This window comes from Homo sapiens, chromosome 10 (genome assembly GCF_000001405.40).
Source record: "Homo sapiens chromosome 10, GRCh38.p14 Primary Assembly".
NCBI classification, from domain to species: Eukaryota; Metazoa; Chordata; class Mammalia; order Primates; family Hominidae; genus Homo; species Homo sapiens.
In genome coordinates, this window is record NC_000010.11 from 18,325,865 (window position 1) to 18,341,739 (window position 15,875).

The 15,875-nt window shown below is 40.4% G+C and overlaps 1 protein-coding gene across 11 annotated transcripts in view, besides 1 other annotated feature; it reads left to right on the top strand.

Moving 5' to 3' along the window:
• The window catches only part of CACNB2 (calcium voltage-gated channel auxiliary subunit beta 2), a 403,134-nt gene that overhangs the window by 185,441 nt on the left and 201,818 nt on the right, over positions 1-15,875 (top strand). For 2 of the 11 annotated variants that reach the window (NM_201590.3, XM_011519659.3), the window contains exon 1: positions 14,845-15,113. The exons of the other annotated variants lie outside the window; for them this stretch is intronic. In NM_201590.3, the coding sequence (NP_963884.2) occupies positions 15,063-15,113 (51 nt within the window). In that variant the 5' untranslated portion in view covers positions 14,845-15,062. Of the gene's footprint in view, positions 1-14,844; positions 15,114-15,875 lie in introns of those variants that run through there. 11 annotated transcript variants of the gene reach the window in all.
• Positions 14,655-14,860: a silencer, noted in NCBI's record as "fragment chr10:18629448-18629653 (GRCh37/hg19 assembly coordinates)". NCBI's record gives its function as "represses an EF-1alpha promoter that drives an FKBP-Casp9 reporter gene in an ReSE screen in HepG2 liver carcinoma cells {active_cell/tissue: HepG2}" and the evidence as "EXISTENCE:reporter gene assay evidence [ECO:0000049][PMID:32094911]".

Genomic DNA, 15,875 nt, shown 5'->3' on the forward strand with positions numbered 1-15,875 from the left:
CTCCTGAGTAGCTGGGACCAGAGGCGCACACCACCATGCTCAGCTCATTTTTGTACTTTTTGTAGAGATGTAATTCCTCCATATTGCCCAGGCTGGTCTTGAACTCCTGGGCTCAAACTCCTGGGCTCCCAAAGCTGCTGAGATTATAGGCATGAGCCACTGTGCCTAGCTGAAACCTATTTTTTCTTCATGTTGATTCCTACGGTGTTAGTCCTATGCTAACCTGACTCTGTTGTCTTCTATTTTCAAGATAAATCATTAACAGAAGATATGAGCTACTACAGTTATTCAGAGTTAGTGTACAGAAACAGAAAAAAATAAAGCAGTTTTAAAAAGGAAAAAAATGGACTGAATGATTAGGAATAAATAAAACATGCAAATATTACCTTGAGTCAAAATTGGAATTCCAAAATGAATAATTAGTAGATGTAAGGCATTCCTCCAGTGTACTTCATGGCTTGAATTCAAAATCATGTTCCAAGGTAAATAAATCTGCTCCATCTTGTTTATCCAAAGGGCAGTTTGGTGTTGACTTAGTTCTGCTCTTTTTTGGTAACTTATTCAAGAAAAGCAAAGAGCAGAAAATTCGTGGTGTTTTAATCCAGGGAGAAGGAGCGGGTGGAAGTAAACAGAGTTCCTCCTTCATCAGACTTCGTCAGAACTGCTATGCCCTCTGACTGCATTAGATTAAATACTGCAAATAAATTGGATCCCATTTGGTACTTAATAAGCACAGCTCACTTGGAAGAAGTTTTACTTCAAGATATCTTCACTTTTCTTTGGAATATGACAGTTTACCCCTCTGACCACATGAACCTCTTCAAAATTTTATTTATGCTCCTTCATGTTAATTCAGAAAGTAGAAAGTAATAATTTTTTTGAGACAGGGTCTCACTCTGTTGCCCAAGTTGGAGTACAGTGGTGTGATCAGGGCTCACTGCAGACTTGACCTTCTGGGCTCAAGCAATCCTCCCGCTTCAGCCCTCCGAGTAGCTGGGACTACAGGCATGTGCCACCATGCCCAGCAATTTTTTGTATTTTTGGTAGAGACGGGTTTTTTTGCCATGTTGCCCTTGCTGGTCTTGAACTCCTGGACTCAAGTGATCCGCCCACCTCAACCTCCCAAAGTGCTGGGATTACAGGCGTGAGTCACTGCACCTAGTGAAAGTAATGATTTTTTTTTAAGCATTCCCATAGGCCACCCTTCCTTGAAGACTGATAAGTCAAATTTCCATGATATTAAAGAATGGTATCCTAGAACATTCCAGATTGGTTTTCATTCTGTTTGACTTAAAGATTTGAAATATGTTCTGATGTTATTCCAGAGCACCTGTGGATTTGAGGGTCCAAGAAAAGTGACCACAAAAGAGCATACCTATTAATTATATAAAGAACATGTTTTTTGTAAGTATATCCATTATATTTTCATAATAAAAATAACATGATTTTATTTCTATTTATTTCTTCAGCCTCCAAAAATATCAGATATACCTAAATGCTCTTTTGTAGAAATATGCACATCTGGAAATCCTAAGTTGCCCGGTCATTTTTGTTTGTTTGTTTGTTTTTATTTGTTTTGAGACGGAGTCTCCCTCTGCCACCTAGGCTGGAGGGCAGTGGAGTGATCTCGGCTCACTGCAACCTCCACCTGCTGGACTCAAGCGAGTCTCCTGCCTCAGCCTCCTGAGTAGGTGGGATTACAGGCGCATGCTACCGTGCCCAGCTAATTTTTGTATTTTTAGTAGAGACGGAGTTTCTCCACGAAACCAGGCTGGTCTCAAACTCCTGACCTCAAACAGTCTGCCCACCTCGGCCTCCCAAAGTGCTGGGATTACAGGTGAGGCATGAGCCTCCACGCCCAGCCCCAGTCATGTTTTCAATGACCACATTTATACCCTGTATTCTGCTGAAGACAGAAATTTAAGGCAGTATCCGACTAACCTCTTCTTACAGATGAGCAGGGTTTGGCACACTAGAGCCTCTGGAGCTAGGACTGAGGGTTGGGGGGTGTCCTGGCAGGGCTAGTTCAAGACTTCAGGGCAAGGGGAAGTTTTGTCAAATGCCTGAGGAAAGGCAGAGTGGAAGTTGAAGACATATCAGAAGTGTCAAATTCTTGAAGCAGATAGGATATGAGAAGATGGGCTGCCTTAGGGGTAAGTGGTGAGCTTTTGTAGCCAGTTCTGGAAAGAGGACCTGAAAAGATCCAACCTCTATGCAGTGCTCTAAGAATCTTAGAAGTCATCAAATGCTGGGTTTCGTGGTAGAAATTCAAGAGCTGCCAGAATTCAAGGGTCAAGACTGAACAATGATGAACCATGCAGAGAAAAGAGGAGAATTTACATGGCCCTAAAACAATAATTTGCTACCTTGGCCACACATTAGAATCATCTGGGGAACTTTAAAAAATCCACATGCTCAACCAAGTTGCATCCCAGACCAATTAAGTTGGAATCTCATAGGGTGGGATTCAATAGTTGGTATAACTTAAAGCTCCCTGTGATTCCACTTTGCAGCAAGGCTGAGAAAGACTGGTTTAAAGCAAGAAGGAATGCTTACCTGGGTACTTTTGGCCTGGTTTATCCACTTAGGTATCATACTCATTATATTCATAGTTAGAATAATTCACTGTTCTATAAGTATAACCACTATTATACTTAAGTATAAATATACTTAAATTGCACTTACACTGTTTGTCTACACAGGCACTTAAAGGGTCCTGCTTACTAGGGTTCAATTCACATCATCAAAGACTGAAACTTCTATAAAGTTTTAGTCCCCCTAATTTAACAAACCAGTGTAGAATAGCAAGACATTCATCCTAAAGAGACTTGTACATTGAAGTCGATGTAGATTTGGGACTCAATTCAATGAACTGCTCTTTCATCAGGGGTTGGTTAAGCAAGCTTCAGGGATTCTGAGCTATTTGTGTGAACCAAACGTAACCCTAGGTCAGAGATTTGTAGAACTGTATATGATTTCACTGGATATGTAGAGAATAAGGAAACACAAAACCTCCACATCTCCCAAAGACTGTATTTATGTTGGGGGTATATCCAGTTTTTCATTTGATACTCAGAGAATAGTTTTGACTTTGCAGACCTCCTGATTGCTCTCAGGGCTCTCAGACTACACTTGGAGAACCCCTCACAAGAGGCATATGCATAGTGAAAGGAGTGAGGGCTGCAAGTTCATGGATGCATTATTTTCTCGTTTTCGTTTGTAGGGAAATACATGCTCTGTCATTGACTTGCAAGGATTTTCTTTTTATTCTTAATTGCCTCCCTAATCCTTTCTCCACTCAGCTGTGGTACTCAATGCACTCAGATTAAATGTGTGTGTTCTTCTGGGCCAGGAAGGAATAGATAGCATTGATGTGGACCCTCAACTGTATTACAGAATAGGGTGGTAAACACTCAGGAGAAACATTCTCCCTGGTAAAGTGCTAAGCAATTGTTAAACAGCATTTTAAAGCATGAATGAACGTCTTGCTTGTACATTCCAAAGTTCCACAAACAAAAGAAAAGTTCTTATTCTAAAGGAGCAGGAGATGAATCCTGCCGATAATGTTTTTTATAATGTGGCTGTGAATATTTTTTCCCAGAGTTGGTAATCCTAAATCACCTCTTACAAGTAAAAAAAGAAAAAAAAAAAAAAAAAAGCAGGATAAGAAGAAAGATATAAGCTTAAATAATGGGCCATTGTAGTCAAAATCAGGGAGTAGCCAATTATTTTTGCGATTTGCACTAAGTGTGCGTTTAGAAAGTTGGATTAATCTCACTACTTCACTGCAGAAATTAATGAGATGAGATCACATGGTAGAAACCAGTGCTTTGTACCTCATGATCTCATTTTTAGCAATCTTGTATGTCCTCGTTTTATAGTACTTTTATCCCAAATTCATTGTTTCCAATAAAATATTTTATGTTTATTTTATGCTATTATATTTATAGATTTATGTTTTCTTGTTGTTGTTTGTTTGGTTTTCTTTTTTGAGATGGAGTCTCGCTCTGTGTCCCAGGCTGGAGTGCAGTGGTGCGATCTCGGCTAACTGCAACCTCCTCCACTTCCTGGTTTCAAGCGATTCTTCTGCCTCAGCCTACCAAATAGCTGGGATTACAGGCACGCACCACCCTGCCCGGCTAATTTTTATATTTTTAGTAGAGACTAGGTTTTGCCATGTTGGCCAGGCTGGTCTTGAACTCCTGACCTCAAGTGATCCACCCTTCTCGGCCTCCCAAAGTGCTGAGATTACAGTTGTCAGCCACTGCACCCAGCCAGATTTATGTTTTAAAAATTCAGATATTTATAAAGATAACACAAAGAAGTCCTAAAAATCGCATTCATTATTTAATACTCAAAATATTTGACAGACTTCATATACGTAATTACACATTAGTCACATATCATGCATATGCTTATGTAATCTAGTGTGAATACAATTATCGGGTCTATTCCTTCCAAAACTCATGACATCAACAAGCTTTAGTTTAAATAAAAGTTAGATGGCCAGGTGAAGCAGTTCATGACTGTAATTCCAGCACTTTGGGAGGCTAAGGTGGGAGGAACACTCGAGCCTAGGAGTTCAAGACCATCCTGAGCATAGCAAGACTCTGTCTCTACAAAACATTGAAAGATTAGCCAGGTGTAGTGGTGTGTTCCTGTGATCCCAGTTACTTGGGAGGCTGAGGTGGGAGGATCATTTGAGCCCAAGAGGTTGAAGCTACAGTGAGATGTGATTGTGCCACTTCCCTGGGTGACAGAGCAAGACCCTGTCTCCAAAATAACTAAAGGTTAAAATTAAAACTAAAACTTTTTTTTTTTTGAGATGGAGTCTTGCTCTGTTGCCCAGGCTGGAGTGCAGTGGCATGATCTCGACTCACTGCAACCTCTGCCTCCTGGGTTCAAGCAATTCTCCTGCCTCAGCCTCCTAAGTAGCTGAGATTACAGGCCCCCGCCACCACGCCTGGCTGATTTTTGTATTTTTAGTGGTGATGGGGTTTCATCATGTTGCCCAGGCTGGTCTCGAACTCCTGGCCTCATAATCTGCCCACCTCGGCCTCCCAATGTGCTGGGATTACAGGTGTGAGCCACCGTGCCCGGCCTTTTTATCTTCTGCACCATGCCCGGCCTTTTTTTTTTGGAAACCGAGTCTCACTCTGTTGCCAGGCTGGAGTGCAATGGCGCGATCTTGGCCCACTGCAACTTCCGCCTCCTGGGTTCAGGTGATTCTCCCGCCTCAGCCTCCTGAGTAGCTGGGACTACAGGCGTGCGCCACCATGCCCAGCTAATTTTTGTATTTTTAGTAGAGACGGGGTTTCACCATGTCGGTCAGGATGGTCTTGATCTCTTGACCTTGTGATCTGCCCTTCTAAGCCTCCCAAAGTGCTGGAATTACAGGCATGAGCCACCGTGCCTGGCCATAAATTTTTTTTGATTAGATGATGCTGGGCACAATGGCACACACCCATTGTCCTAGATACTTGGGAGGCTGAGGCAGGAGGATCACTTGAGCCTAGGGGTTTGAGGCTGCAGTGAGCTATGTTTGCGTCATTGCAGTCTAGCCTGGAGAACATAGCTAGATGGCATCTCATTTAAAAAAAAAAAAAAAGGATGGGGGGGTGAAAATTGCACAATTTCTTCTGACTTTTTTTTAACTTAAATTAACTGAGAAGCCCTAGAGATTATAACTGTTACCTCTAACTGCTTGAGATTCTTGCATAAAGTCTTGTTCCTCCAACATGTTACTAGAATAACAGCTCCAGAACTGTTGGTTTGAAGACTAAGTCACTAGCCTCCCTCTAGGTGATGAGTTGAACATCCTCTCATAACAGCAGAAGACTCAGAGTCTCAGGCCTATCAAGCAACTTAGCCAGTTAGTTAATGGCAACAGAGCCGGGCCTAGCTCAGATCTCCAAATCTAAATCTGGTGTACTCTTCACTGTACTGAATGAACTTCAAGGTTTCCCTGGATTGTGGGCCAAATCATATCACTCTAAAAGTACCAAGTATGTTCATGGTGGCAGCCATGCAGGAGTTGATTAGGGGCGCAGGGTGGGGGCAGTGAGGGGAAAGCACTCTAAGCAGATGGAAGAGAAAGTGCGGAGGCCCCAACACAGGAATGCTCTTGGCTCAGTCCGAGGACAGCAGGACACCAATGTGGCTGCAGTGTGGGGATGAAGGGGCAGAGAGAGGGGAGAGGACGTCTGAGATGTGAGTGGAAGCCATATCTCCCCAGGCCCTGCAGGCCACAGTTATCTCAGCTGCAGCAAGACATGAGTAGAGGACTTTAATTTTAAGCAGCAGGGTGATACAAGCTGTCTGTGCCTTATAAAGACCTCTTTGGCTGCTCTATGGAGATTGGACAGCGTCCAAGAGATGAGCTGGGGATATTGCTAAAGGGAGTGGTGGTGAGAGGTGGCAAGGGTTGGATTTGCGAAATACTTTGGAGTTAGCATGGACAGGACTTGGTAAGTGATTAGCTGGGAGGATAGGGGAGCATGTGGGTGCTGTTTGCTGTAGTATGAGGAATTAGTAGCTCTTTCGGGGACACAGAAAGATCAAGAAGTCTATTGGATATCCATGCAGAGTCATCAAATTGGCGTTAAATGCAACAATCTGGAACTCAAAGACCTTAAATATTTAGGAAAATCCAACCTCGCAGAAACAAAGAGTATTCCAGGACTACAGAATAAGTATTCTTTCAGCATAGGTGAGAAGTGAACATTTCAGGAGGAAATCTCTTCAGATGGCAGGTCAGAGAAAGGCTGGGAGAAGAGGATTAGGAAACAGGGTGAGAGGGGGTATCTAAAAAACACAGTGGGACAAAAATAGCACTTTATGTAACCTCCCTAGTCCCTAGCACAACTTGTATTAGTCTGTGGAAATTGTATTAAGGAGAAATATTGAAACATTATACATAATACATTGAATTAGTTAGATTCATTTAACTACTATAGAACATAATCAGCAGTTCATTTACAGTTAACTCTGAAAAGATGTTTAATTCATTTTAATGGTATGAAAAAGAGACTTTACCATGTTAAATGCAGGTTACAAGTACCAAAAAATTGCAAGCTATGATTTTCAGTGTCAAATTTACAATACAACAGATCTATGGGGTTGGGGAGTAAAGGGGCCAAAAAAGCCACCAAAATACCCTTTCCTCCCATTATTTCTAGAATTGCTTGAAGTGGCAGCTTTCATGAAGATAAAATTGCTATGCCTCTTCATTAATAACAGTAGGTTCTCATTTTCAAGTGTATCTCATTCAGCGATAGGGATGGGGGGATGGGGAAAAGTCCTTTTCAGTTTTTGCAGTTAGTCGTAATATGCTTGAATTCAACGCGCTTTCTCAAAAAAGGCTCATTTATTTGAGTGGCTCTGATTTGAATAAAGTCTCACCTTATCTGAAGCTGCTGAATTGCAGGCGGGATTGATCATGGCTTCTTAGAGGGATAAACTCTGAGGAAGGGATTTCCACAGTACAACTACTTGCCTTAAATAGTACAGCTTTGGGACAAAAGCACTTTGCTCTTCTCAGTCAATAGCAATAGCTCAGTTGGAAATTTTGTTAATGTTAAAAAAAAAAAACCTGTTAGAGACAACATAGATTGCTATGTTGAAAGAAAATTCTATTATGTCTGTGACTATTTCCATCTTGTTTTTTTACTATGGCATGTGAAATTGTTTCCTACTTTTATTTTTTGAGAAAAGCATGTGTTGGCTGTTATTTACCAAAAACACATGTGAGCCTTCGTGTGTACACACACACTAGAGTTTTGTTTTGCTGTTATGATTCACTGTCTGGCTAACACGTACCATAATTATCCATATTTGTACACATAGCATGGTCTTGTATAATCAAAGATGACACTGTTGAGGCATAAACTCTAAATTGGGGTGTGATCAAGGGAATTTTTTCACAATCCTCTATGGTTGGATAAATAGACTGGACTTTGAAGTCTGGACGGACCACTTGAAGTATGTGACCTCCAAAATTCTGCCTTTTTTTTTGTCGTCTCCTGGCAACGTAACATATTTATACTTTGGCCACTACCTCTCCTTCCAGAAAGGTCTGCTGCTGTTTTAAAGTTTAAAACAACAAATGAGAAAGTTGTCCCGATTGAAAGTTCAGAATTCCTGAGGTTCTCCTCTCTGCTTTCTGTTTATGTCGACAGATAATAGCAATGCAGACTACAAATAAATCAACAGAAAGAACCCTTCTCTTTTCAGATTAGTGAGCATGCATCTAGTTATAATGTCATTTTCATTAAGCCCTTTTCACTGTTTAGCAAAGACAACTTGGGGGCAAGTGACGGGAGCAGGGGATGGAAGGAAGTTGGAAACAAGCTAAGGACAAATGTTCCACGGTGTGAATACGAGCTGGGACTGCAGAAACCTCAGGTCCTTCCATCTGCAATCTGACACCCAGCTACTCCAGTGGCGTCTGTGCGCTTCTCCCAGAATCACAGAATAACTGGGCACTTAACTGAGATCCCAGGAGCTGCTTTTGAGACCCACGGGGGTCTGGTTTTTCTCCTCCTGCATTTTGCCTCTCCAGTCTTCTGTCCTACTTTCAAGCAATCTGAACAAGATGGAGAAAGAATTTGAATTTCACATTCTGGGATCTTAGGTTATACTTGAAAGCACTTCACATTGACAGCTTTGACATAAAGGGCACCTTCATTTCTGGCCAGTTTCTCATTCTCAGCACTATGGACATATTGTGCAGGATTGTTCTTTGTGATGAGAAGCTCCCCTGTGCATTGTAGGATGCTGAGCAGGAACCCTGGCCTCTGCCCACTAGATTCCAGTAAACTCCTCACCCCTCCCCATCGTGGCAAGCAACAATGGCTCCAGAAATTGCCCAATGTCCCCTGAGGGGTCAAAATCACCCCCATTCGAGAACCACTGAGTTACAGCAAAGGAAATCAACATTTATTTGGCAATTCTGGTGTGCCAGATGTGTACTAGATGTTTTATGTCATTCTGGCAATTATCTTTTGAAGTCTTATCCTCTTTTTATAGATTAGAAACCTGGGAGATGACAAGGAGAAGCATTGTTTTGTTTCGTGCTTTCCTTTCACTGATTTTCTGGTACTCAACAATGAAAATATAACCAGAAAAATTATTTCATAACTAGGAAAAAAACCGTGAAAACATGCTATTTTAATATATTTATCCCATAATATGACTATACATTTCAGACATTCGTTACCTAAGTTACAGACATCTAATGTGAAAATTTGTCAGAAGTATGAAAAGTAAAAAAAAAAAAAATACCGTTGGATATGGACTTAACCACTTAAATTAAGATAGCCTTTCTTTTTCTATTCTCTTAACACTGGCAAGTGACCAAATTGTCTTGGATTTCTTATTTCTTCTGGTGTCAGGCATGACAAATTATCTATCATCTAAACCATCACTTTCACAGGGTGTGATGGCTCACACCTGTAATCCCAGCGCTTTGGGACGCCAAGGTGGGCAGATCACTTGAGGCCAGGAGTTCAAGACCAGCCTGGCCTACATGTTGAAACCCCATCTTTAGTAAAAACAAGCAGACAACAACAACAAAAATAATTAGCCAGGCATGGCGGAGCATGCCTTTAATCCCAGCTACCTCAGGAGGCTGAGGCATGAGGATTGCTTGAACCCAGGAGGCAGAGGTTGCATTGAGCCAAGACGCTCTCCAGCCTGGGCAACAGAGCGAGACTCTGTCTCAAAAAAATATATACATATTAAGTCCATCACTTCCTGTCTTACATGAACCTCAATTATTCTTTTTTCTGGGTTTCAATCTTAGGTCTGTTTCTCACTGATGCATACATTTTTTCCTTAGTTTTTCCTCATTAGTTTTTCTCTATATGTTCTTACCAAGGACCTCAACAAAATATCTCTCAGTCTTGTTTGACAGCAAGAAAACACACACACACACACACACACACACACACACACACACACATACACACACAGTTATTTAGTAGTAGAAAATTTACAGAAGCTTGGAAAGGCATTGAAATTCCTATATGTTCCATTTAGAATTTCCATCCTCATCCTTCTCTTCAAACCTCAGTTGCTTTGGTTACCCAAAATCATTATTAGTTAACATTTTTCTATTGTAAATATGTTTTGGTGGCATTATAAATTAAAGTGGGCTGGGTTTGGAAAGCTGATACTCAAATATGCCATTGTCAGAAGAGAGAGGAACTATGGCTTCAAATTTAAAACTGGCATCTAAATATAATGTTTCCAAACTTTCAGAACATGTCTTTCAAACAAATATAGATTGAATACAGGCCAAATTTTGTTTTTAATTCATTAAAGGAGCCAGCATGGTTAAGCCAGTTTGAAAGATTATGGGAAAGGTTTAAGTATTTATAGTCATTGAAAGAAAGAACCCTGAGCTATGAATTGTTCAATTAGATACAAGAACTGGTTAATACTCCCCAGAACAATAAAATGACGACTTAGGGTGGGCCAGACATGGCAGCTGATGCTGTAATCCCACACTTTGGGAGGCCAAGGTGGGTGGATCACCTGAGGTCAGGAGTTCAAGACCAGCCTGGCCAATATGGCAAAACCTCATCTCTACTAAAAGTACAAAAATTAGCCAGGTGTAATGGCGAGTGCCTGTAATTCCAGCTACTCGAGAGGCTGAGGCATAAAAATTGCTTGAACCTGGGAGGCGGAGGCTGCAATGAGCCAAGATCATGCCACTGCACTCCAGCCTGGGTAACAGAGAGAGAGACTCCATCTCAAAAAAAGAAAAAAAAAAAGATGACTTAGGGGATAATCTTTCCTACAAGACAGCAATCATTTGCATTTCTCCTAGACCAATTTATTTATATTGGACGAATTCATTTGCATGTCTGTCAGCTTTTGACAAGTTAAAGTCTATCCTCACAGAGATAAAAAATATCCTAACCCATAATAAATGCTGAGTTAAACAAAGGGTTCTAATTTCCCTAGAAAATTAGATAATCCTTGGTTGCGTGTTAGACACTTAAACTTTATTTGAGGTTGAAAAGTAATACCAACCCATTGTAGAAAGTTTGAAAAGTACTAAATTTTTTAAAAGGAAAGAAAAAATAAATACCCTCAAACCACTACTTAGTAACCCACAGCCACTGTTAATATAATTCATATGCTTCCTTACAAGTTTCTTCTAAATATTTTTAACAGTGGAATCTTTACTGTAAAAACAAATTGGTAGTCCACTTTTTTCTTTTGCTTTTTGCTTTTCTTTTCTCTTCTTTCTTCTTCTTTTTTTTCTTCTTTCTTTGTAGACAGGGTCTCACTCTTGTTGCCCAGACTGGTGTGTAGTAGCGTAATCTTGGCTCACTGCCCCCTCGACTTCCTGGAGTCAAGCAATCCTCCCATCTCAGCCTCCTGAGTAGCTGGGACTACGGACATGCACCACTATGCCTGAGGTCTTTCTTTATTGCCCAGGCTGGTCTTGAACTCTTGAGCTCAAGTGATCCGTCCATCTCAGCCTCCCAAAGTGCTGGCATTACAGGCGTGAGCCACCATGCCCGGCCTACTTTTTTCTTTTATTTACTCTTACCCATTGTAGCATTTGTTATGTAATGGAAGTGTCTCATAAGCATTTTAATGGCCACAGTGGTCTAGCACTTTTTGTATCAAAAATTTTTAACAGTTTTTCCTAACTTTAGACATTTATTTATTATAAATTATTTCAGAATACAAAGAAGCATAGAAAATATTATAATGACCAATGATGTAGGTGTGATCTAGTTTTGAAAACATATTACTGATAAAGTTGCCCCTTCCCCTCACTAACGCTTCCAAATATACTCCTCTCCAGACATAACCACCATCCTGGATTTGGCATTCATTATTTTCATATTTATTTTTTTACATGTTTTACCACCTGCATAAAATATATAGTATTTCTGCATATTTTCAACTTTGCTGCAAATCATACCATAGGTTCTTTTTAAAAAAGTCTCTATATATTAAGGTGTACAACATGATGTTTTGATATTCATACACACAGTGAAATGAAACTGGATCGTTATCTTATACCATGAACAAAATCAACTCAAAGTGGATTAAAGACCTGAAACCATAAAATTCCTAGAAGAAAACATTGTGGAAAAGCTGCTGAATACTGGCCTTGGTAATAATTTTTTTAAAACATCACACCAAAAGCTCAGGCAACAAAAACAAAAATAAACAAGTGAGATTACACCAAACCAAAAAGCTTTCTCATAGCAGAGGAAATAGTTATCCAAATGAAAAGGCAGCCTGTGGGTTGGGAAAAAATATTTTCAAATTACATACCTGATACGGGGTTAATACCCCAAATATATAAAGAACTCACAGAACGGAAAAAAGACATAACCTGATTTTAAAATGTATGAAGGACCTGAATGGACATTTCTCCAAAGAAGACATAAAACTCTGGCCAACAAATATATGTAAAGGTGTCAACATCACTAATCATCAGGGAAATGCAAGTCAAAATCACAATGAAATACTAGTTTACTCTTGTTAGGATGGCTGTGATCAAAAGGACAAGAGATAACAAGTGTTGTTGAGGGTGTGGAGAAAAGGGAACCCTTGTACACATAGGTTCTCAAGGTACCTTAAAGTTCCAAAACTTGATTTTTCTATCAACATTGTGTTTGTAGGGATTTACTCAAGTAGGTAACTTCCAGACCCTTCACTTTCACTACTGAATAGTATCCAAAATTTTATCCACTTTTCTGTTGATATGCATCTAGGTTTTTTCTTTCCTTCTTTCCCTTCCTTCCTTCTTTCTTTCTCTCTCTTTTTCTTTTTTTCTCTCTCCTTCCTTCCTTCCTTCCTTCCTTCCTGACTTCCTGCCTTCCTGCCTTCTTTCCTTCTTTCCTTTTTTTTTTTTTTTTTTTTGAAAGAGGGTCTTGGCTCCACCCAGGCTGCAGTGCAGTGGTATGATCATAGCTCATTGCAGCCTCTACCTCTCAGGTTCAAATGATCCTCCCAACTCAGCCTCCCAAGTAGCTGGGACCACAGGCACATGCCACCATGCCTAGCTAATTTTTAAATTTTTTTGCAGAGACGGGGTCTTCCTTTGTTGCCCAGGCTGGTTTCAAACTCCTGGGCTCAAATGATCCTCCCACCTCGGCTTCCCAAAGTGCTGGAATTATAGGCGTGAGCTACCATGCCCAGCCTGTTTCCCGTTTTTTACTACAGCCCCTCGGTGTAGCTAGGGACATTTCATTCATGCACCTCCCTGTGTACTCATGTGAGGGTATCCCTGGGTATGTACTGAGGGGTGGGATGCCAAGCCTGAGTACTTGTGCATCAACAGTTTCATTATATCCTGCTAAATATCTAATGTGACTGTACCAGTTTATACTCCCACCAACAGGCTGGGCACAGTGGCTCATGCATGTAATCCCAGCACTTTGGGAGGCCAAGGCAGGCAGATCGCTTGAGGTCAGGAGTTCGAGACTAGCCTGGCCAATATGCTGAAACCCCGTAACTACTAAAAATACAAAAATTAGCCAGCTGTGATGGCACTGGCCTATAATCCCAGCTACTCAGGAGGCTGAGGCAGGAGAATGGCTTGAACCTGAGAGGCAGAGGTTGCAGTGAGCCGAGATCGCGCCACTGCACTACAGCCCGGGCAACACAGCAAGACTCCATCTCTAAATAAATAACTAAGATATTCTCCCACCAACAGTATGTGAAAGTCTAGTTGCTCTGCATCACAGGCTTACAAACCTTTTCTGTAAAGGGCCACGTAGGACATATTTAAGGCTTTGTGAGTTACATGGTCTCTGTTGCAATGACTGCTCTTGTAAAGAGCACAAAAGCAGCCATGGAGCATACGTAAATGAACAAGCCCGTATGTTCCAATAAACATTTATTTAAGAACATTGATTTGAATTTCAGGTAATTGTCATGTGCCACAAAATACCATTCTGTTTTTTATTTTTTCCCCAGTAATTTAAAAATGTAAAACACATTCTTAGTTTGTAGGTTATACAAAACAGGTGGCTGACTGAGCTTGACTGTGGGCCATAGCTTGCCATCCCCTTCTTGACATTTTCACCAAGATCTGAGATTTTCAGATTTTTTAAAAATATTTCCACCATGATGGATGCAAAATGGTAAACTGTGATTTCAGTTTGTATTTCCTGATTAGAAAGGAAGTCCTGTGTATTGACCACTAGAATTTTATCTCCTATGATTTATCTATTCACGTCTTGTTTTCCATGTTCTTTTAGTTGTGGGTCTTTTGGTTGTGAGCCTTTTGATTTATAGGAGTTCTATTTCCTGGATAGTAATACCTATATATATACATATATGTGTGTGTTGCAAGCATGCTCTCAGAATATTGTGTTTATTATTTCAATGTTTAATGCTGTCTTTTAATATAAAGAAGTTTTTAATTTACAAAAGGTAAATGTCTCCAAGTGATACTCATTTGACTGTGAAAAAAATTAGATTTTCCATACACACTGAGAACTTGAAAGGCAACGAAAAAAGAAAGATATCACTTTCTTGTGTGCAAAAGAGAAAATATTTCTTCAGTGGGTGGGAGTAGAAAAATATTTTTACTTTTATTGCAGACTTTCAAGACAGTAGTTTCTTTGAATGCTAACAGCTTATCCAGTTATGCAACCTGTTGTTCTGTTCTGAAGAAAGGATTCTCGAGCAGGGCTGGAGTCCTGGCTGCCTGGAGGGACCTGTCGCATCTGATACTAATGAAGTGTTACTGTACTTTGACAAGTTTGCAGGCGTCTGTCTTCCAAGCCAGCTGACGTAATTCAGAGGAGAATAAGACCCTCCCACTTGCGTTTGTTAATTGACTTTGATGAGCTCCTCTGCTCTGCCTAAGTGGTTCTGGAACAGAGAGCTGTTGTGATCCGACGAACTTTAGAAAGTCACACTAACTAAGACTACACACCCCAAGCCAGCAAGAAAAAGGAAAGCAGTTGCTATGCTGTTCAGCAAAGCAAGACTTGGCTGCCTTTTAGCTAGTCCTGAATTCTTGCTCCTGTGAAGAAAATTCCTGCTGGAGTGCTGGGCGCACTTGGAATTGGTCTAGCATGCTTGACAGACGCCTTATAGCTCCTCAAACTAAATACATTATTCCTGGGGTAAGCATACGGGAGAGAAGCCGGCCAGATGCACGGTGCGGTTTAAAGAAAACAGGAATGCATAGAACTGTTGCCGAGCTTGAGCTAAAATCATACTAGTTACTTAACTTTTTAGACTTTCTTATCTTGCCAGAAATGTTGCCATTCACAGTGTTATTACTTTAATGCTGTGGTGATTTAAGCAAGTGAAACTGTAACTCTGGTTTTAAACTGTATGTTACTGAGCTTCATTTAGTAGCTTAGGGAGAGAGTCCCGGTGCAGACAAATTTAGTGGAAAATGAAAATGCTTTTTCCAGCTATAGACCAGCACTTGTCTTGAGTATCACTCTGACAGCCTAGCCACTGACTTCTTGTGTGTCTGAGACCTATCTGTGTAAATCAGGATGGTCTGACTTGCTGTGTTGCTGCAAATTAAGATTCTTTTACTATTCATCAACTTTAGAAATTTTGAATTTAATAAAATACAAACATGACAGTCTAAAGTTTAAAATACTTAAACATAAAGCTTTGCCACACGAGGACTGACTGTTTGGGTCTTCGGATTTGGTTTAGAACTTTTAAAGAAAAGACTTTATTATTATTTATTGGTGCCTTTTTAGGAAAGGATGAAAACATGCACAAAAAAAACCCTGAACCTAAAACTAAACCAGAGCCCGTAAAAATAAAAGTCATAAAGTTACAAATATCTGTGCTAATAGGACATGAAAATACCATTTTAAAATTAATAGTTTGTCTAAAAATTATTTTAAGTACTTCTTTTG